Raw genomic sequence first — 22,892 nt, forward strand, 5'->3', positions numbered from 1 at the left:
TAAGGATGCCCACTTTAGCCACTTCTGTTTAAACATAGTACTGGAAGTTCTAGCCAGGGCAACTGTGTAAGAAAGAGAAATAATGGACATCTGAATTGGAAGGAAAAAGTAAAATTATCTCCGTTCACAGATATCATCTGATATGTAGAAAACTCTGAAGACCCTACAAAAAAAACTAGTAGAATTAACAAATTCAGTAACATTATAGGTACAAAAATCAATACATAAAACGCAGTTGGGTTTCTAGACACTAACAATGGACAATATAAACAAGAAAACTAAGAAAACAATTCCATTTACAACAGCATGAAACAGAATAAAATACTTAGGAATAAATTTAACTAAGGAGGTGAAGGACTTGTATACAGAAAATTACAAAACACTGCTGAAAGAGATTAAAGGAGACAGAAATAAATGGAACGACATCCCATGTTCATGTATTGGAATACTTAATATTTAAATTTTCTTTTCTTTTTTTTTTTTTTTACTTAGTGCTTCCTAGCACAAGGGAGACAATATTGTTAAGATGTGACTACTATGCACATCTATGCACATCAATGCAATACCCAACAAAATCCCAATGACATGTTTTGCAGAAACAAAAAATTCCATGCTAAAATTAATTAAAATCTCAAGGAACCCTAAATAGCCAAAATGAACTTGGAAAAAGAACAAAGGCTGGAGAATTCACACTTCCTGATTTGAAATTTTACTACAAAGCTATTGTAATCAAAATATTGTGGTACTGGCATGAAGACAGACACATAGAACAAGAGAAAAGAATAGAGAGGCCAGAAATAAACCTTGCATATATGATCAAATGGTTTTTGACACAGGTGACAAGTCCATTTAATGGAGATAGAAACAGTCTCTTCAACAAATAGTCCTGAGACTATACATACAGAATGAAGCAGGACCCATAACTCACACCACAAATAAAAATTAATGCAAAATGAATCAACAACCTAAATATAATAAGAAAAACCATAAAATTCATAGAAGAAAGCATAGGGGTAAAATTCACGCTCTTGGATTTGACAATGCATTCTTAGTCCAAACAACAAAAATAGAAGTCAATCAATTGGACTTCATCAAAATTAAAAACTTTTGTGCATGAAAGAACATTATTATGAAAATGAAAAAACTCCTACAGGATGAGAGAAAATATTTACAATTCGTATATCTGATAAGCACCTAGTATGCAGAATTATAACAAACTCAACAACAAAAAGACAACCCAATTCAAAAAAGGGCATTTATTCAAAGAAGCTACACAACAAATGGCCAAAAAACATGTGAAAAGATTCTCAACATCATTACTCACTAGGGGAATGCAAATCAAAACCAAAGTGAGATAGTGAGATATCACTGCACACCCTAGGGTGGCTATAACAATCACAACCACAACAAAAGTGAAAAATAACAAGTGAAGGTGAGAATATGGAGAAAATGGAATCCTCGTATATTGCTAGTGAGAATGTAAAATGGTTCGGCTGCAGTGGAAAACAGGTTGATGGTACATCAAAAAGTTAAACATAAAATTACCATCATCACCTAGCAATTCCAATCAGGTATATACCCAAAGCAATTGAAAACATAAACTCAAATAACCATACACACATTTGTAGCACCATCATTTACAATACGTAAAAGGTAGAAACAGCCCAAACATTTATCAATGGATGAATGGATAAACAAATTGTAAGATACGGCCGGGCGCAGTGGTTCATGCCTGTAATCCCAGCACTTTGGGAGGCCGAGACGGGTGGATCACTAGGGCAGGAGATCGATACCATCCTGGCTAACACAGTGAAACCCCATCTCTACTAAAAATACAAAAAATTAGCTGGCCTGGTGGCGGGCGCCTGTAGTCCCAGCTACTCGGAAGGCTGAGGCAGGAGAATGGTGTGAACCCGGGAGGCGGAGCTTGCAGTGAGCCGAGATCACGCCGCTGCACTCCAGCCTGAGCGACAGAGTGAGACTCTGTCTCAAAAAAAATAAAAAATAAAAAAAATAAAAAATTGTGAGATACACACACACACACACACACACACACACACACACACACACACGGAATATTATTCAGCCATAAAAAGATTGATACTAGCTACAAAGTGGATGACCATCAAAATATGCTAAGAGAAAGGAGGCAGAAACAAAAGGTCACATACTGTATGAGTTCCTTTAAATGAAATATTCAGAACAGGTAAATTCATAGAGACAAAATGCAGACTGGTGGTTGTCACGGGCTGGTGGAGGTGGGCAATGAGAAGCAATTGCTCAATGGGTACAGTTTCCTTTTGAGGTGATATCATGTTTTGGAGCTAGACAGAGGTGGTGGTTGGACAACACTGTGAATGTCCTAAATGCTACTGAATTGTTCATTTTAAAAGGTTAATTTTATGTTATATGGATTTCACCTCAATTTTTAAAAACTCTTATAGCAACAATAAAATCATACCTCATTGTGAGATCCACCAGAAAAGCTAAAATGAAAAAAGACATACAATATCAAGTGTTGTCAGGGTGTGGAGCAACAGAAATCCTCATGAACTAACTGGTGGATGTATAAATTGGTTACAATTACTTGGGAAGACTGGCAACATTTACCAGACGTAAACCATATGCATACCAAGCATAATGCTTGGTTAGGTGCTCAATAAATATTTATTGATTGAACTAACGAAGTACCCACTTTTTTTTTTTTTAGGTACTATGCTAAGAAACAGGACATAAATGAAAAGATATGGTTTGCTCTCCTAATAAAGATACACACACAAATGATTATAATATGCTTATATTGTGGAGGGTGGATATTGTAGTGGTTTTGGAGTCAGATCATTTGAGTTCTGACTCCACCATTTACTAGTTAGCTATGATTTTCAGCAAGTCTGAATTTTATTTCTGCATCAATTATAAAATATCTTTCCTTTCCACTCTCACTCCACAGTTTCAGTCTACTGCTGCTACTTTCACCTTTACAAAACAGAGCATGTCAATACCCCATTCCTTCCAGCTAAAAATCCAAAGATTCCCTACTACATAAAATAATCTAAACTTCTTATCTTGGCATTCAAAAACTTCTACATTTTGTTACCTACCTTTCTTTCCAGCTTTATCTCATATTCTACTCCTGCCATGTTCCAGAAGTCATTCTGGCCTGCTATATCTTATTTGGAATATACTGTTGAAATGTCTTGGCTTTGTGTCTTTGCGCCACATGTGTTTCTTCCAAGAATTCACTCTCTGTACTTTGAGTATTGTTAGTTCATGAGAAAGTGAGTCTTTCATGGTACTATATATTGATAAAGGGTCTTTTGCATTTAATTTTACTTAACATGTAGATTAACCCTGGGAGAGAGTAAACTGACCACGTTTATGGAAGTAGTCTGATACACACTAAAAATGAATAAAAATTAGCATTCAGGAGCACACTTTGGCCTCCCTGACCTTTTATTTCGGTAAAAAAAGTTATTTCCTCAATACTAACCATATTGTTGTACCAGAATATCTCTACTTAAAAACTGTCACTGACAGCCTGGCCAACATGGTGAAACCCTGTCTCTCCTAAAAATATAAAAATTAGCTGGGCGTGGTGGTGCACACCTGTAATCCTAGCTCATCAGGAGGCTGAGGCAGGAGAATTGCTTGAACCCAGGAGGCAGTGGTTGCAGTAAGCCGAGATTGCACACTCCAGCCTGGGCGACAGAATGAGACTCCATCTCAAAAAAAAAAAAAAAAAAAAAAAAAAAAAGACTATCACTGGGGAAACTGCTTTTCTGGTTCATCCATTTGAATCTAATCCAGTGTCAAAACTTATCAAGTTAGCTCTGCCACCCCTGTTATTCCTAGTTGTGAATATGGGAAGATACTCCCAGAAGTTTAAAATGACGGAAATAAGATTGTCCTTTGAAAGATCAACACATAAAGGATAAGAACATGTAATAGACATTGAGTGATTAAGTGAAACAAATTAGTGGCATCAGTCTAATTCACCAACTCAATTTAATTACATTTACCCTATAGACACTACAGTGGATACAAAGATAAAAAGGCCATGAACTCAACCATCAGGTTGTTTATAGTAGAAGAGAAGAGAAATATAAGTCACCAGGTAATTATAATATAAGAATTATATCTCAATTCTTCCTAAAAGGTAGTTATTTATATTAATAAGGCTGGATGCAGGGAAAACAACATAAAATACAAAAACTAAATCCTATACTATACAATATGGTGAAAAAACCTTACATTATAAAAGGACTATCAGATACAAATGTGGATCTTTAAAAAAAAAAAAAAAAAAAACTGTTTCTCCATAGGTATAGTTGTATTTTAAATATTATCAAACTTTTACTTTTGGAAAGCATTTAATACACTATAACTTGTCTTTTCTATAATTTCCTTACCTCTACAAAAATAAAATCTAATTAATTTAAGTATCTGTTTTACATAATGTCATATTCCTAAGACAGAAGTGGTGCATTTAGAGATACAGGAAAAAAAACAAACAAACAGGAAGTAGTATTCACCTAATCAGTAATGTGATGTCTGATTGGAAGAAGTAGCATATCAGTTGTTAGGAAGTGAAAAGCATTCTCAGATTTCAAAGCAACATAGATGTGATAAGATTCAAGGCAGAAGAGAGCAGGTGGTATGACAGCAGCCATTAATTATAAGATACACTTATAATTAGGTTTAACAAAAGACCTACTTTAAAGACTTAATTATCAATATTATCTTGGCGTTTTAAAAATTGATTGTAAACTGTTTTTATTGTAGAAAATTTCTAAGAAAATAAATTTATAACTAAAAAATTAAAGTCAAATGGCCATCACAAGAGAATGGTTGTAAAGTTTCTCAGCCATCTGTGAAATACAGTCTTCGATATTACGAAACTAAAGATAACATTAGAGAGTATTAGTAAGTGAATGAGACATGCTGATAAAAATCTACTTTAACCATAGTTCCATTAATTCTTCTAGAAAATCATCTAGTTAAGATCTGACTTTTTTTGTATTGCATTGTTAAAAAGTTCTACCTCTAATAGAATCTTAAAAAATATAGGCATTTAATCAATACTGACGGAGTTAAAATAGGATTTTAATAAAGCAAGAATACAAAACACATAAACAGTGAATAAACAGCCCATTTTTTTGAGCTCTCAAATCACTGGCCCTTTTCTGTCACGATGATCAAAAGAACTCTGAAGTGTATTTTTAATAGTGCCATATAATAATTCATTCATTAGGGTGTCTTTTCTTTCATCCATTCTGCAACAGTTAGAGACAAGGTTTAGAGAAAGTTATTCTTTTTATCTTGATACTTTACTTATGTGATAAATATCTTTAATTCAAAAGGCCAAATCAATAACATATATGATTTTCTAATAGGCAAAGCTCAGATTTTTGAAAAAAATAAAACTGTTTTAGACAATGTATGTGATAAAAAACAATTTTTATTAAAGAGTAAACTAATGAATGGTGAAAATATTCAGTAGCAAGTTGATATTATCAATGATGAATACAAATAGGTGACTGCTAGGGTAACAGATTGAGACTTACCACTGGAGACTTCAGCTGTTATCAAACTAATTACATTTAGAAGCTTAAAAAAGAAAACTCTGTTCTTAACAATAAAACCGTTTAGGTAGCTGAAGATCTAGCAAAAAGAGTCTCACCAACACTTCAACGTAATCAGTGCTCCGCCACCCCCACCCCTACCCCACCGCCACCCTGCCCGCCTTTTTTTTGGTTGTGTTGTTAAGACATAGGGAAGATGTTCATTTTGATAGGTTTCAAGTCATTTTGCTAGGCAAGTTAACAGGAAGCAACGAGATTAAGGGACTACAGAATAATATAACAGATGACTTCATAAGACAGACAGAATAACCTGACGAAAAGCAGAAAATAGGTTGGTGTTTATTCCTCTAAATATTCTCTAGATACAGCAAAATAATCTACATAACTATTTATAATGAACAATATTAGAGATAGTTACAGAGACTGAGGGATGGTTGAATTAGACTTAGAGTGGGAATTTTATACATTCTCCTGAAGGTAGATATTATCTCTAAAGGGTTTTGTTTTGAAAGGTAAAGAAACCAAATTTTCCCAAGGAACAGTAGTATGCTGAAGTCTACTCATACCAGCTCATGACTGCAACTACTATTTTCAGAAATTCTATAAGCCAGTTAAATATATGCATCATTAAAAATTAAATTATGTAAACATAATTAAATTATACAAAAAAGTAATAATGACTCAAAATTCATCACTTCCTATTTTACTACATTTTATTATTGTGTATGTCTTTGAGGATATTTACATCTATTGTTGTGTATGTCTTTGAGGATATTTATATCTATTGTAGCTGCATGGTGGAAATACTATATAATGGTAATCTACTACTATGCATCTACTTCCAATTCCACTTTCGGTGTTTCACGTTGATAGCTTGAAATCAGCCACGGTGGGAGAAATTAACACCATTAAAACTGGCAACTGTCACAAATCAAGGCTTTTTTTCCTCCTAAGAACCAATTAAAAAAAATTTACCAACACACTCATGGTATATTCTAGAATTTTGATAAAGAGGGCTGGTTTAAAATTGGTTACACTGCAAGATAGTTGGAAAACTACCCTTTAAAAAAATCACTAATGACACATAGAAAAAAAAATTTTTTTTTTTTGAGACAGAGTCTCACTCTTCTCACCCAGGCTGGAGTGCAATGGCGCTATCTCGGCTCACTGCCACCTCTGCCTCCGGAGTTCAAGCGATTCTCCTGCCTCAGCCTCCGAGTAGCTGGGACCACAGGTGCGCACCACCACACCTGGCTAATTTTTGTATTTTTAGTAGAGATGGGGTTTCACCATGCAGATCAGGCTGGTCTCGAACTCCTGATCTCAGGTGATCCACCCACCTTGGCCTCCCAAAGTGCTAGGATTACAGGCACATGCCACCATGTCCAGCCGAAAAATATTATCTTAAATGGTACTAGATTATAAAGTGGATCAATTCTGGAATACTCCATAATACAATTAACAACTATCCTTATTAATAAAGAAGGATATGCCATTTATCTTTAACTGACTGCTATGACTTTGATGGCTTAATTTTGGTTTGGGGGCCATTTTACTTGGAAATGAAGAGGGTTTGGCATAAGAGTAGAGTAAGAACCATTAAAAGTCCTTGTTGAATACTTTTCAGGACCATACTCTTAGTGCTAACCCTTTTAAACAGGAACAGAAAACTCTTCCAAAACCACTAAATTTTTGTGTATATAGATAAATGTGAAACTAAGCAGGGAAGACATGTTTCTTGGAATTTTAGGGCTTTTCCAAGGTTCTACACCTCATGGAGTGAGGAAGAAGCTGAGATGACAAGACTTTAGCCTCCCTCATTTTGGCATTAACCAGAGAAATTTTTTGTATCATTCTTTAATATACTGGGGTTCTATGTAAAATGTCATTAGAAAAAAAGTGTTCCTTTGTAGGAAGATAGGAAGAAAAAAAGGGAGAGAGAGAAGAAGGAAATCAGCATGTTAGGGAATATTAGGGGATGTGTGTATATGTATCCATACCATCAGTATTTATAAAAGGTATGTTTGTTGGTGAAACCCCGTCTCTATTAAAAATACAAAAATTATCTGGGCATGGTGGTACATGCCTGTAGTCCCAGCTACTCGGGAGGCTGAGGCAGGAAAACTGCTTGTACCTGGGAGGTGGAGATTGCAGTGAGCTGAGATTGTGCCACTGCACTCCAGCCTGGCAACAGAGCAAGGCTCCGTCTCAAAAAAACAAACAAACAAACAAAAAAAAAAACCGGGTATGTTTGTGTGCGTTCTGGGAGAAACAACTTTGGGTAAACTGGGTCTATTTGTGTAAAAAAGATGAATGTCAACAAACATTAGTGCAATTCTTACTGAATTATATTTGTTGTCTATTATACATATATAACCACAGCTATCTAATTAAAAGTATTGGTATTTGAGATTATCCTAAATTATAATTTAAAATTCAGAGATATATAACCTAGGTTTTAAAGGGAACACAAAAACAATTTTGGATCTTCACACAGTTATATGCATTAAAAATTTTTTTATGTGTTACATCATTCGTAAAGTAAGGGCAACATTATCTCTCAAAACAAAAAGAAACAGAACAGGCATTTTATAGCAATGAATAAAATAAAAAGTCTCTGAGAAAGTAAATTTTTATACAGTAAAAAACACTGCTAGTTGGGATACTGCCTTCTCAAGAATATAACCAAGTATCTTTCAAACTAAACAAGTTTTCTATTTTGAAAAGGAAAAATAAATAATAAGTGCATTGATTTAAACGACCAGAATGCCATTTACTTTAAAAGACCTTTCTTTTTACCTGGAGCAAGCAAATCAATCAAATAGTAAAGAGGAAAGTGCAATAATAACCGTAAGACAAGGTTTCATGGAAGAAAATACTGGCTGTATAGAAGATCTGTGTTTTCACAGACTTTGTTTTCTTTGAGGTCTTCCAACCCAATACTAACCAGGTCCAGCTAGTTTAGCTTATGAAATCTGACAAGGGCACAGCCCATGGCAATAAGGATGCAGGATAGTGATTTTATTTCTTATTTAATTCATTGCAGCCCTAGGGAGAGAGATAACGAGAACAGGAATGAAATCCAGGTCTCCTACATAAAACACTGCAGAACATTACCACTAGGTCACCAGGGAGGAAAAGGAAGAAAATATTTTATTTTAAAAGAGTTTATTTGTTATAATATTTATGGTGGAAAATTATTTGTTTTGGCTTACCTGATGAAATCAGAACTTTACTCCCATTACTCACAAATTTGAATGATTGTTTCCACAAAATATTGTTTGATATCTGCTTACTAGATTTAAAATATTTAACTACATTGTTTTGGAAATTGTAAAAAAAGTATATCACCAACTTAACTCATAAAATGTCAGGCAGTTAAAAATCATCAGTTATAATTTTTAAAATTTCATCTAATCCTCCCACTACTTGGATATTTGTCATATTTCATTTATTCCTATCAAGTGTTGTAGGCACTGTCACTGATGAAAGCCCTGGCAAATTCTGGAGAATTTACCTACGTTTGACTCTTCCAAGAACTTAAGAAGGTTAAGAAGTTCCTTCTTAAGGGAATAGCTTAATGCCTAACTTACTAATGCCGATTGAGCCATGAAAGATTCTTGACATTTGAATGTTTTTGCCCTAAAAAGTGGCTATTGCATATGACTAAATTAAACACAGCACAATGTCCCCGATATTCAAACTCCTATGTAAAATGAAGAAAATACTATTACCTAAGATTCTTGTGAAGTTAAATGAGCCACTCCATGAGCACACAGGACAGTATCTGACACTCAAAAGATGTTAAGAATGATGAAAATAATGATGAACATTTTATATTTCCCCTATTTGATATGAAATCATCAGTAAAAATCAACAGTTTTCTACTATGGTATTTTTCTGGTATTCTATGGTAAAACCCCTATAGACATAGACATAGGGGTTACATAGACATAGGGGTTACATAGACATAGGGGTTACATAGACAGAGGGGTTATACACAGACATACTAGCTCTGTCTATGGTCATTCACTGCCATGACATTTTACATCAATACTTTGTGAGATCTTTTAGATTATAAATACTGGACAAAACAAAAACTAGTCAGGGAAACTAACAGATAAACTCTTGGAGAAAAAGTCAACTTTTTTTTTTTTGAGACGGAGTCTGGCTTTGTCACCCAGGCTGGAGTACAGTGGCACGATCTCAGCTCACTGCAACTTCCACCTCCCGGGTTCAAGCGATTCTCCTGCCTCAGCCTCCTCAGTAGCTGGGATTACAGGCATGTGCAACCACATCTGGCTAATTTTTGTATTTTTAGTAGAGATGGGGTTTCGCAATGTTGGCCAGGCTGGTCTCAAACTCCTGACCTCAAGTGATCCACCCCTTCGGCCTCCCAAAGTGCTAGGATTACAGGCATGAGCTACCGTGCCCGGCCAGAGTCAACTTCTTAATGCAAACAGCAGAGAGGGTAACTAGGACATACATTTATCTTCACTTTGGTTTATACTAATGAAAAGGAGAAAAAAAAAAAAAAACCTTAAGCAAACTTTGAAAATGACAGCAGATCCAAAACAAGGCAAGAATAAGAGGAAAACTTCATGTTTCAGGGTTTTTGAGTTTATAAAATGTTTTTTACCACATATTCTCTTATCTCTAAAATAGAAAGAGGAGATAATTTCATACTTTTATAAGATACTAAATGATAAGAAAACTAAAACTCAGATCATAAAGATAATAAATGGTGATGTTAAAACTAGAATTCAGGATGGACGCGGTGGCTCATGCCTGTAATCCCAGCACTTTGGGAGGCTAAAGCAGGCAGATCGTGAGGTCAGGAGTTCGAGACCAGCCTGACCAAAAATAGTGAAACCCCGTCTCTACTAAAAAATACAGAAAATTAGCCAGGCATGGTGGTGCGCACCTGTAACCTCAGCTACTTGGGAGGCTGAGGCAGGAGAATCACTTGAACCCAGAAGGCGGAGGTTGCAGTGAGCTGAGATCGCACCACTGCACTCCAGCCTGGGAGACATTGTGAGACTCTGTCTCAAAACAAACAAACAAACAAACAAACAAACAAACAAACAAACAAAACGTACCTAGAATTCAAGTCTCCCAACCTTTAGAGACCAGGATCTTGTCTCCCACTCTTCCCAAGATTATGCTCTCTCAGCAGAGGTCACCATGACTAATTGGGTGCTTGATTAACTTAACAAGTACTTACTGAGAGTCTAATGTGTGCACATTTCTATGGTAAGTTCAACCACAGAAACCACAGATACAAATTCAATGAGAAAGAGAATACAGGCTTTGAAACAAAGGAACCCAGGAGAGCAAATGCTGCTTAATCACACAGTTCTACAGATAAAAACTCCAGTATGACCTCATTTAATTACATCTGCAAAGATCCTATTTCCAAATAAGGTCACATTCTAAGGTAATGGGGGTCAGGACTTCAACATGAATTTTGAGGAGATAAAATTAGCTCCTAACACAAAAGGCAGGAGGAAGACAGATGAGGTAAAGATTCTAAGCCCATTGCATTTTCTGGAAAAAGGCAAAGAAATTCAAACAAGCCTGTGGTAAATTATCCAGTAAAAATAAAATGAAAAGAGTATAGAACTGCATCAATTTCATAGAAAGGAGAAACAAAATATTAAATATTAATCCAAAAGAAAGCAAAAGAGGACACAGGAACAAATTTGAAACAAGAAGGATAAACAGCAAATCCTAATAGACTTAACCCCCAAATGTCAGTATTAATATTATATATAAATGAATTTAACGCTTACCTCAAATTTCAAAAACAGTAATGTCAGAGGTGTTTGAACCACAGCAACTCCATCTTGAGTAGGGGCTGGATAAAATGAGGCTGAGACCTACTGGGCTGCATTCCCAGACAGTTAAGGCATTCTAAGTCACAGGATGAGACAGGAAGGAGGTTGGCACAAGATACAGGTCATAAAGACCTTGTTGATAAAACAGGTTGCAGTAAAGCCGCCGGCCAAAACCCACCAAAACCAAGATGGAGACACGAGTGACCTCTGGTGGTCCTCACTGCTACACTCCCACCAGCACCATGACAGTTTACAAATGCCATGGTAACGTCAGGAAGTTACCCCGGATGGTCTAGAAAGAGGAGGCATGAATAATCCACCCCTTGTTTAGCATATCATCAAGAAATAACCATAAAAATGAGCAACCAGCAGCCCTTGGGGCTGCTCGATCTGGAGTAGTCATTCTTTCATCCCTTCACTTTCTTTATTTTTTATTTATTTATTTATTTATTTTGAGATGGAGTTTCCCTCTTGTTGCCCAGGCTAGAGTGCAATGGCGCAATCTTGGCTCACCACAACCTCCACCTCCCAGGTTCAGGCAATCCTCCTGCCTCTGCCTCCCGAGTAGCTAGGATTACAGGCATGCACCACCACGCCCGGCTAATTTTGTATTTTTAGTAGAGACGGGGTTTCTCCTTGTTGTTTAGGCTGGTCTCGAACTCCCAACCTCAGGTGATCCGCCTGCCTCAGCCTCCCAAAGTGCTGGGATTACAGGCGTGAGCCACCGCACCCAGCCCTTCACTTTCTTAATAAACTTGCTTTTACTTTGCACTGTGGACTCACCCTGAATTCTTTGTTGTGTGAGATTCAAGAACACTCTCTTGGGGTCTAGGATCTGGACCTCTTTCCTGTGATAGTAACACCTAAATAATAATAAGACTAAAAACCATATGCAAACAGGAGGCAGTGTCAGAAAGATTTCTGTAAAATACCATCTGTTACTACATTTTTTTTTTTTTTTTTTTGAGACTGAGCCTCACTTTGTCACCCAGGCTGGAGTGCAGTCGTGTGATCTTGGCTGACTACAACCTCTGCCTCCCGAGTTCAAGCAATTCTCCTGCCTCAGCCTCCCAAGTAGCTGAGATTACAGGTGCATGCCCCCACGCCTGGCTAATTTTTGTATTTTGAGTAGAGACAGGGTTTCGCTATGTTGGCCAGGCTGGTCTCGAACGCCTGATCTCAGGTGATCCAACTGCCTCAGCCTCCCAAAGGGCTGGGATTACATGCATGAGCCACTGTGCCCGGTCATAAACTATATTTAAAGAAACCAATGCTCAGAGGAAATTTAAAGCATTAACACTTAGAAAAAGAAGGAAGTTCTCAAATCAACCTAATCTTCCACCTTAAGAAATTAGAAAAGGAAGACCAAGGCTAGGCGAGGTGGCTCACGCCTGTAATCCCGGTACTTTGGGAGGCCAAGGTAGGCGGATTACCTGAGGTTGGGAGTTCGAGACCAGCCTGACCAACATGGAGTAATCCCATCTATACTAAAAATACAAAATTAGCAAGGCATGGTGGCGCATGCCTGTAATCCCAGCTACTCAGGAGGCTGACGCAGGAGAATCGCTTGAACCCGGGAGGCGGAGGTTGCAGTGTGCCGAGATCGCGCCATTGCACTCCAGCCTGGGCAACAAGAGTGAAACTCCGTCTCAGAAAAAACAAACAAACAAACAAAAAACCCAGACTAAGTAGAAGACAGGTATGTAAGAGCAGAAATCAATGACACACAAAACTGAAAAAAACAGAGAAAAATAAATGAAACCAAAAGCTGATGTAGCTCAAGAGAGGCTAAAACAGAGAAGAAACAAAATAGTAATATTAGAAATAAGAGAGGAGACATCAATATAAATTCTATAGAAGTTAAAATAAGGAACTATTAGAAACAATTCATGCCAGCACACTCAACAAGTTAGATGAAATGGTCAGACCTCTTCAAATGCACAAACCATCAAAACTCCCATAAGAAGAAATAGATGAAATTCTACACAGAGGAGGGAACATTTCCCAATGTGTTCTATAAGGTCAATATCACTGTCACTGGACATAAAAAAAATAGACAAAAATATTAAAATAAAACTAAATTATAGACCAATATGTACACAGACATAAACTGAAAAGAAAATTTGCAGACTAAATCCACAATATATAAGAAGGCTAATACATAATGACCAAATGAAGTTTATTCCAGGAATTCAAGTCTGGTTTAGGATTTTAAAATAAACCAGTAGAATTCACTATATTAACAGATAAAAGAAAAAGACCACACAATCATGCTATTAGATGCAGAAAAAAAGATCTATTCATGATAAATACTCTCAGCAGACTAGAAATAGAAGTAACTTTCCTCACCTAGATTAAGGGCATCTGTTAAAAGCCTGCACCTAACATAATTGGTGGTAAAAGACTGAATGCTTTCAAGATCAAGAATAAGACAAAATGGCCAGGTGAGGTGGCTCAGGCCTTTAATCCCAAGGAAGTTAGGAGGCCAAGGCGGGTGGATCACTTGAGCCCAGGAATTGAAGACCAGCCTAAGGAACATGGCAAAACCCTGTCTCTATTTAAAATATGTACAAAAATTAGCTAGGCATGGTGCCGTGTGCCTGTAGTCCCAGCTACTCAAGAGGCTCAGGTGGGAGGCTTACTTAAGGCGGCAGGATCATTTGAGCCAGGAGGCAGAGATTGCAGTGAAGCAAGATCGTGCCACTGCACTCCAGCCTCAGTGACCCAGTGAGACCCTGTCTCAAAAAGAAGGAAACAAAAAACTATAAACTTTGACCCTTACCTCACCTATTTGCAAAAAAGATAACTTTAAATAGATCAGAAACCTAAATATAAGATAAAACTATAAAACTTCTAGAGGCCAGGTGCAGTGGCTCATGCCTGTAATCCCAGCACCCTGGGAGGCCAAGGCAGGTGGATCACGAGGTCAGGAGATTGAGACCATCCTGGCTAATGCAGGGAAACCCTGTCTCTACTAAAAAATACAAAAAACTAGCCGAGCGTGGTGGCATGCGCCTGTAGTCCCAGCTACTCGGCAGGCTGAGGCAGGAGAATTGCTTGAACCCGGGGGGTGGAGGTTGCAGTGAACCGATATCACGCCACTGCACTCCAGCCTGGGCGACAGAGTGAGACTCTGTCTAAAAACAAACAAACAAACAAACAAAAACTTCTAGAAAGAAACAGAAGAAAATCTTAGCGACTTTGAGTTTGGCAAAGATTTCCTAATTATGACATATAAAAAGAAGTATAAAAGAAAAAAATTGAACATACAGATTAAAAACTTTACTCTTCAAATGATACTTTTACTAAAATAAAAAGCAGGCCAAATGATGGGAGAACGTATCTGCAAAACATACAGGAACACAGCACGTCTATCTGATTTATATAACAAACTCTTAAACTGAGCAATAAGACAAAGTGGGCAACAGTGCTGAATGGACATTTCATAAAACATGATATTCAAATGGAAAACACATGAAAAGATGCTCGGCATTATTAATCTTTAGGGAGCTGAAAATCAGAATCACAACGACGTACTCCTACACATCCACTAGAATGACTAAAATTAAAGAGGGTGATGATAAAAAGTGTAGGCCAGGATGTGGAGCAATTGCACTTCTCACACACTGCTGGTGGGAATGTAAAAATCAACAGCTACTCTAGAAAATAGACTGGCAGTTTCTTAAATGGTTAAACTATACCTATCACAGGTTCTAGTCATTCTCCCACAAGGCATTTACTCCAGAAAAATGAAAGCATATGTCCACACAAAAACTTGACTTGCACTTGAATCTTCATAGCAGATTTATTAATGATGGTCAAAAAACTAGAAACAACTCAAATGTCCATGAAATAGTGAATGAATTAAAAAACTTTAATATACTCATACAATAGAATATTACTTAGCACAAAAAAAGGCAAGCCACTGATACATGAACAAACATGAATAAATTTCAGACTTATGCTTAGTGAAAGAAGTCAGACAAAATAGAATTTACACTGTATGATTATACATAATATGCAGAGCAAGAAAACTAATCCATGATAATAGAAAGCAGATCACTGGTTGCCTGAAGATAGGTGAAGGATGAGTATGATAAATTACAAAGGGTTGTAAAGACACTTGTGAGGAAAATCTACATGTTCAATATCTTGATTCTGACAACGGGTTCACAGGTATATCTGTATGTCAAAGAGCATGAAATGGTACACTTTAAATATGTCTAGTTTATTTTTATATCATTGGTATATCAATAATAAAGCTGTTAAAAAGGGGACATGGAGTACAGTAAATTAATCAATACAAAAGACTTAAGTGAGAAAAAAAACTTAGAACATGAAGTACAAATGGAATATTAAAAATTAGTCCTGGGCCAGGCATGCTGGCTCACACCTGTAATTCCAACACTTTGGGAAGCCAAGGTGGATGGATCACCTGAGGTCAGGAGTTGGAGACCAGCCTGGCCAACATGGTGAAACCTCATCTCTACTAAAAATACAAAAATTAGCTGGGTGTGGTGGCGCATGCCTGTAGTCTCAGCTACTCGAGAGAATGAGGCAGGAGAACTGCTTGAACCTGGGAGGTGGAGGTTGCAGTGAGCTGAGATCACACCACTGCATTCCAGCCTGGGCGAGAGAGTGAGACTTCAACTCAAAAAAAAAAAAAAAAAAAAAGTACATAGACAAGAGGTACAAAAGCAAAAAAATAAAAAACCCAAACAGTAATATGACAGATCTAAAGTAGTTTTATTACATAACAATGGAATGAATGCTTTAAATAAAATTTGAATACTGTCACACTAGAGTTTTTTAAACTGCACAAAAGCAGGCACACTTAACATATAAGAAACAAAGATGTAACAAAATGGAAAAATATATAACATGCAAACAAAAACCAAAAGAAAGCTCGATTAGTTATATTAATATTAAACAATAACAAAAAAACCCAAAGCAGAAAAGTTACTAGAAATAAACTGCAACACTTTATATAGTAAAAGCTTTGATTCACCAAAGATATAAAAATGTGAAATTCAAATGCACTAATAGCCTTAAAATATATAAAGCAAAATGTTAACTGAGCAAGAAAAAACTGACACATACATTATCTCAACAGGTTTTTAACATTTCTGGCTGTAGCTGGTCAAACAAGCAACCCCAAACTAATAATAATCAAAGGATTTAAAAACATAGTTAACAGGCTTTAATTAATTGGCATATATATAATTCTGAACCCACAGATATACAATTCTCTCAGTACATCAAATATTTAAAACAGCTGACTACAGAGTAGTCCATAAAGCCAGTGTCAACACAATTCAAAGGACTGAAATCAGAGTGTGTTCTATTACAAAACAATTAAGCTGGAAATTAATAACAAAAAGATAACTAGAACATCCTCATGTGTTTGTAAATTAAGAAACAGACTCATAAAGAATCAATGGGTCAAGAAAACAATCACAAGAAGAACTAGAAATATGTTTTAAGTAAATGGGAAATCAGAACACAAATTATTAAAACTGGCTTTTCAGCTAATGCTGATCCTAGAGGGACATTTATAGCCTTTAATACCTATATTACAAGAAAGTCTAAATATCAGTATAGTAATTCTTCATCTTTAGAGGAGAGATAAAAATTGCAAATTAAACTCAAAGTAAAATGAAAGAAAAAATAAAACAGTTGAAATCAGTAACAAAGAAAACAAGCATACAATATACAGACTCAAAAAGGCAAAAGATGGTTCTTTGAAAAGACCAGTAACTTAATGGCCTGAAAAGGAGACAGCGAGCGAATATAAGAATATACAAATATCCAATATTAGGAATGAAAAGGAGGACATCATTACACAGCCTACAGATGTGTGCTGTCTAATATGGTAGCTGTCAGTTGAAACTATTTAAAGTAAAATTTAAAGTATTTACAGGCCAACACAATTTAAAATCTAGTCTCTCAGTCATACTAGTCAAATTTCAATTGCTCAAGAGCCACATACTGAGAAAGGAATAATACAAGGTGGTCCCTGAGAGGAATAATACAAGGTGATCGCGGGAGAATAGAAAATTTCAGGCAGCAGTTTCACACGACTAGCAAAAGGAATCTATTGAAATAGCTGCAGCTAGGGACCGATAAGACCCTGAAAACCCAGGAGTAGATCAAGCTGGCTAAGACCAACTGGTTCCCACATGGCACTGGATTTGACCTAGGTTTCACCTAGAACCTCATTATATGCTCATTAACATACAAAAATCACACACCTACCAGTATTATGACAGTTTCAGGAACATCCATATTTAGTGTAAAACTGGGTGACAGGCCGGGTGCCGTAGCTCACGTTTGTAATCCCAGCACTTTGGGAGGCCGAGGCGGGCAGATCACCTGAGGTCAGGAGTTTGAGACCAGCCTGGCCAACATGGTGAAACCCTGTCTCTACTAAAAATACAAAAAATTAGCTGGGCATGGTGGCATGCACCTGTAATCCCAGCTACTCAGGAGGCTGAGGCAGGAGAATTGCTTGAACCCAGGAGGCAGAGGTTACAGTGAGCTGAGAAGATCGCGCCACTGCACTCCAGCCTGGGTGACAGAGCAAGATTCTGTCTCCAAAAAAAAAAAAACAAAAAAAAAAACAACAACTGGAAACAATGAAAATATTCTTTTTTTTTTTTTGAGACGGAGTTTCGCTCTTGTTGCCCAGGCTGGAGTGCAATGGCATGATCTTGGCTCACCACAATCTCCGCCTCCTGGGTTCAAGTGATTCTCCTGCCTCAGCCTCCCGAGTAGCTGGGCTTACAGACATGCACCACCATGCCCAGCTAATTTTGTATTTTTAGTAGAGATGGGTTTGTCCATATTGGTCAGGCTGGTCTCAAACTCTGGACCTCAGGTGATCCACCTGCCTCGGCCTCCCAAAGTGCTGCGATTACAGGCGTGAGCCACCATGCCCGGCCAAAAATATTCTTAAATAGAGAAATAATTACATGAACTGTAGTACAGGCATACAATGGAATATTCAGCAATAAAAAGAAATCTACTGATACACTCAAACATTTGGATGAATCTCAAGGGCATTATGCTAACTATAAAAGTTGATCTCAAGAGGTCACATACTGAATGATTCCATTTAGATCCTCAAAATGATATTAGATCATCAATGTCATTAGACCCTCAAAATGACAAAACTGTAGAGAATTGGTTGTCAGAGGTTAAGGAGGGTGAGTAGGGGATAGGTATGTAAACCAAAACTAAAATTTGAAGCTCCCCAAACCAAATTTATGGACCTCCACTGAGGTCCAAGGGATCCCAAAGAAAACTTGAAAAACTAGGTCAGGCCATGATGGGAAGGGAAGTTAGATATGCCTCATTATACCCTCCTCCCTTTGGAGTTTAGGCACAACTGACCAAAAATTAACATTAAAATGGAGATCATAAGACTGACAAAACAGATTCTTTGTAGCAATAGGATACCAAATTCCAACCTTTGGTATATTATCACAAGAAAGGAACAGGGCTTAAAGGAAATCAAAGTATTTTGTCCCCAAATACATTTATTTGACACTTTTTGTAGTGGCCCTACAAAGCCGTCTCTTGTGGGGAAAATTTGTATTCTGCAGAGAATCTCCTTCCCTTACTAGGTCTTTTCCAGATATCTCTTCTGGAGAATATGACACCTTTTCAGGTCTGATAAGACAGTTGCCCACACCACTGCACTCCAGCCTAGGTGACAGAATGAGACCATATCTCAAAAAAAAAAAAAAAAAAAAAGAGACATTTGCCATCTATTCTCTCTGAAGCCTGTTACTTAGAGGCTTCATCTGCATAACAAGAACCCTGGCTTCTACAACTCCCCTTATCTTAACTCAAGCATTTCTTTATATTGACTTCAATTCTCCAGACAAAGCTTAATGCTTTCAATCAATTCCCAATCAGGAAATCTTTGACTTGGAAGCCCCTACTTCGAAATGTCCTGACATTCTGAGCTAAACCAATGTATACCTTATACGTATTGATTTATACCTTTGCCTGTAACTATTGTCTCCCTAAAATGTATAAAACCAAGTTGTAACTCAACCACCTCGGGCACCTGTTCTCAGGACCTCCTGAGGCTGTGTCATGGGCCATGGTTGCTAACGTTTGGCTCAGAATAAACCTCTTTAAATATTTAACTGAACTTGGCTTTTTTCATCAACAGGTGTGATTATTAAGGAGAAGTATGAGTGACATTTTTGTGGCAATGAAATAGTTCTATACCTCGTTTGGAGAAGTGGTTAATAAATCTATAGGTGATGAAATGACATACAACTATAAACAGCCAATGTACAAATGTCAATTTCCTGGTTTTGACATTGTACTACAGTTACAAAAGATGTAACCATTAGGAAAAACTGGGTGACAGGTACAGAGGAATTCTGTACTGTCTTGGAAACTTCCCATCAATCTATAATTTTATTTATTTTAAAATAAAAACTTGATAAAAAAATTCGTATTTTATAAGTCAAGCATGTAACTGACACCACACCTGACAAATAAGAAAAGAAAATCACAGGTGAATCTCTCTCATAAACATAAAAGCAAAAATCCTAAAAAGATAGCAAATCAAATCAAATAACAAAGAATAATATTTCATAGGACCAAAGAAGGTTCATTCCAGAAAAATAAAGTGATTTAATGCCAGAAAATCAATTGGTATACTTTATCTCATTAACAAAACAAAGGTGAAAAATCACACAATCATCTTAATAGATGCAAAAATAAATATTTGATAATACTTAACAATATTCATTTGTAATAAATAAAAATTTTTTAGCAAAACTAGAAAGAAAACTTCTCAACTTGATTTTTTAAAAACTTAGACTGATGTGGACAAAATCAGAAGAGTAAGAAACTCCAAATTCCACCCCTCCATAAAAGCAACAACAACAAAAAGCCAAAACTATATAATCGACTTTTTCTGAACTCCAGAAATTAACAAAAGGCTTGCAGCATCATGAGTAAGATACACTCAAGAAAACCAGGCTAGAGCCTGGTACAGTGGCTCATGCCTGTAATCCCAACACTTTGGGAGGCTGAGATAGGAGGACTGCTTAAGCCCAAGAGTTGGAGACGAGCCTAGGTAATGTAGGGAGACCCCATCTCTAGAAAATAATTACAAAATTAGCCAGGCATGGTGGCACATGCCTGTAGTCCCAGCTACTTGGGAGGCTGAGGTGGGAGGATTGCTTGAGCCTGGGAGTTCAAGGCTGCAGTGAGCTATGGTGGCGCCACAGCACTCCAGCGTTGGCAACAGAGCGAGACCTCATATCAAAAAAGAGAAAGAAAGAGAGAAAAGAAAGAAAGAACAAAATACAGACAGACAGAAAGACAGACATATGATTTTTGATCAGAACAGTAACTTTACGGCACATTAATTTATTCTAGTCCTACCCACTGTTCCTGGGTGACCACAACCTGTGAACATCACAACCTGTATTACCAGTACTAGAAGGAACAGAATGAACTAACTTGCAAAGAATGGAAATTATTTGTTCTGTCCTGTTTGGTACCTCCCTGGAAGACAGGTTTAAAAGGCTTGTATTTATTTTCCTTAACTTAAAACTAGCCTTATGCTAAGGCTGTTTCCCTGGGGGCATTTGTTAAAAAAATTTACAGAATATTGTCTTTGTATGATGCATGAAGTTATTAAAACAGTTGGTGCAAACAATAGGCAAACCAAAAAGTTTGAGAGGAAAGGCTGAGGCATGAAATGTTGACATTCCTGGGAACCTAGAAGGCCATGTGCATGTTCAAGGCTGCGCACATACTCAGGAAAGTTCTGAGAAGGCGCTAAGCTCTCACCTGCTGCTGACATTAAGGCTATGTAGAAGCGGGGAAAAAAAAAAAAAAAAAAGGTTAAGGCAGAATTGTAAACCAATACAGAGCCCAAGGTAAAGATGGAAAGAATTTTTGCTTCCAGGCATTTATGAAAATCTCTTTCCAATTATTAGCTGATTACCCAGCTAATGTAACAGACTTCAGTGGCTACACATAACAAAAAATAGAGACTTCATAGAATTAGTTCAGAAAACTCACTAAAAACAAACAACTACAACAAGCCCAATACTACAAATCCTTTAAAAAGTAGAGATCTGATTTTCATAATTGCTGATTTATAACATTTAAAATGTCTAATTTTCGTTATTATTATTATTATTTTTGAGACAGAGTCTCACTCTGTCATCCAGGCTGGAGTGCAGTGGCGTGATCTCTTCTCACTGCAACCTCTGCCTCCCGGGTTCAGACGCTTCTTGTGGTTAAGCCTCCTGAGGAGCTGTCCACCACCACACCCAGCTAATTTTGTATTTTTAGTAGAGAGAGGGTTTCACCATGTTGGACAGGCTGGTCTGGAGCTCCTGGCCTCGAGTGATCCTCCTGCCTCAGCTTCCCAAAGTGCTGAGATTACAGGTGTGAATCACTGTGCCCAGCCAAAATGTGCAATTTTCAACAATGAAAAATTACAGGCTATGCAAAGAAATGAGACAGTATGGCTGACATAAAGAAAAAAATAGAAACTGTGCCTGAGGAAGACCAGACAATGAACTTTCTAGACAAAACGTTAAATCATCTTTTTTTTTTTTTTTTTGGAGACGGAGTCTCACTCTGTTGCCCAGGCTGGAGTGCAGTGGTGTGACCTTGGCTCACCGTAACCTCAACCTCCTGGGTTCAAGTGATTCTCCTGCCTCAAGCTCTCAAGTAGCTGGGATTACAGGTGCCCACCACCACACCCGGCTAATTTTGTGTGTTTTTAGTAGAGACAGGGTTATGTTGGCCAGGCTGGTCTCAAACGCCTGACCTCCGGTGATCTGCCTGCCTCGGCCTCCCAAAGTGCTGTGATTACAGGCGTGAGCCACCGTGCCAGGCCAATCATCTATTTTAAATATGTTCAATGAGCTAAAGGAAGCCATGTCTAAAGAATTAAATGAAAGTATGGGAACAATGCACCACCAAATTCAGAATATCAACAGATTAAGTTATTTAAAGGGCAAATAGAAATTCTGGAGTTGAAAAGTGTAATAACTGAGATAAAAAATTCTCTAGAGGGGCTCAACAGCAGATCTGAGCAGGAAATGAAAGAATCAGCAAACTTGAGGATATGTGCATTGAAATGATCTGGGCTGAGGAACAGAATAAAAAGGAATAAAGGAAAAATGAATAAATCTTCAGAAACATCATTAAGCATATCAATATATGAACAATGGAAGTGCCAGAAGGTGGTGGGGAGGAGTGGGAGAAAGAGGAGAGAGCAGGTAAGAAATATTTTGAGAAATAATGGTCTAAATCTTCCAAAATTTGAAGCTCAATGAACTCCAAGCAGGATAAATTCCAATGGACCTAAGGGAGGAGACCACCCCTCATATTGTCTTACACCCAATTTCTGCCTCCAAAGAAAGAAGAAGTAAAAACTAAAAGGCAGAAATGAAATCCACAGGCAGACAGCCCGGCGCCG

General features: G+C 37.3%; 1 protein-coding gene across 3 annotated transcripts in view, besides 1 other annotated feature; it reads right to left on the reverse strand.

The window, feature by feature from the left end:
* DNAJC1 (DnaJ heat shock protein family (Hsp40) member C1) overlaps positions 1 to 22,892 on the reverse strand; it is a 247,183-nt gene that overhangs the window by 93,515 nt on the left and 130,776 nt on the right. The window contains exon 10 of one of the 3 annotated variants that reach the window (XM_047425628.1): positions 15,206 to 15,601. The exons of the other annotated variants lie outside the window; for them this stretch is intronic. The gene's annotated coding sequence lies outside the window, so the exon portion shown is untranslated. Of the gene's footprint in view, positions 1 to 15,205; positions 15,602 to 22,892 lie in introns of those variants that run through there. 3 annotated transcript variants of the gene reach the window in all.
* Positions 18,563 to 19,091: an enhancer, noted in NCBI's record as "NANOG hESC enhancer chr10:22157554-22158082 (GRCh37/hg19 assembly coordinates)". NCBI's record gives its function as "activates a minimal SCP1, AML or CMV promoter by ChIP-STARR-seq in primed H9 embryonic stem cells {active_cell/tissue: H9 hESC(primed)}" and the evidence as "EXISTENCE:reporter gene assay evidence [ECO:0000049][PMID:30033119]".

The sequence above is a fragment of the Homo sapiens genome, chromosome 10 (genome assembly GCF_000001405.40).
Source record: "Homo sapiens chromosome 10, GRCh38.p14 Primary Assembly".
In the NCBI taxonomy this organism is placed as follows: Eukaryota; Metazoa; Chordata; class Mammalia; order Primates; family Hominidae; genus Homo; species Homo sapiens.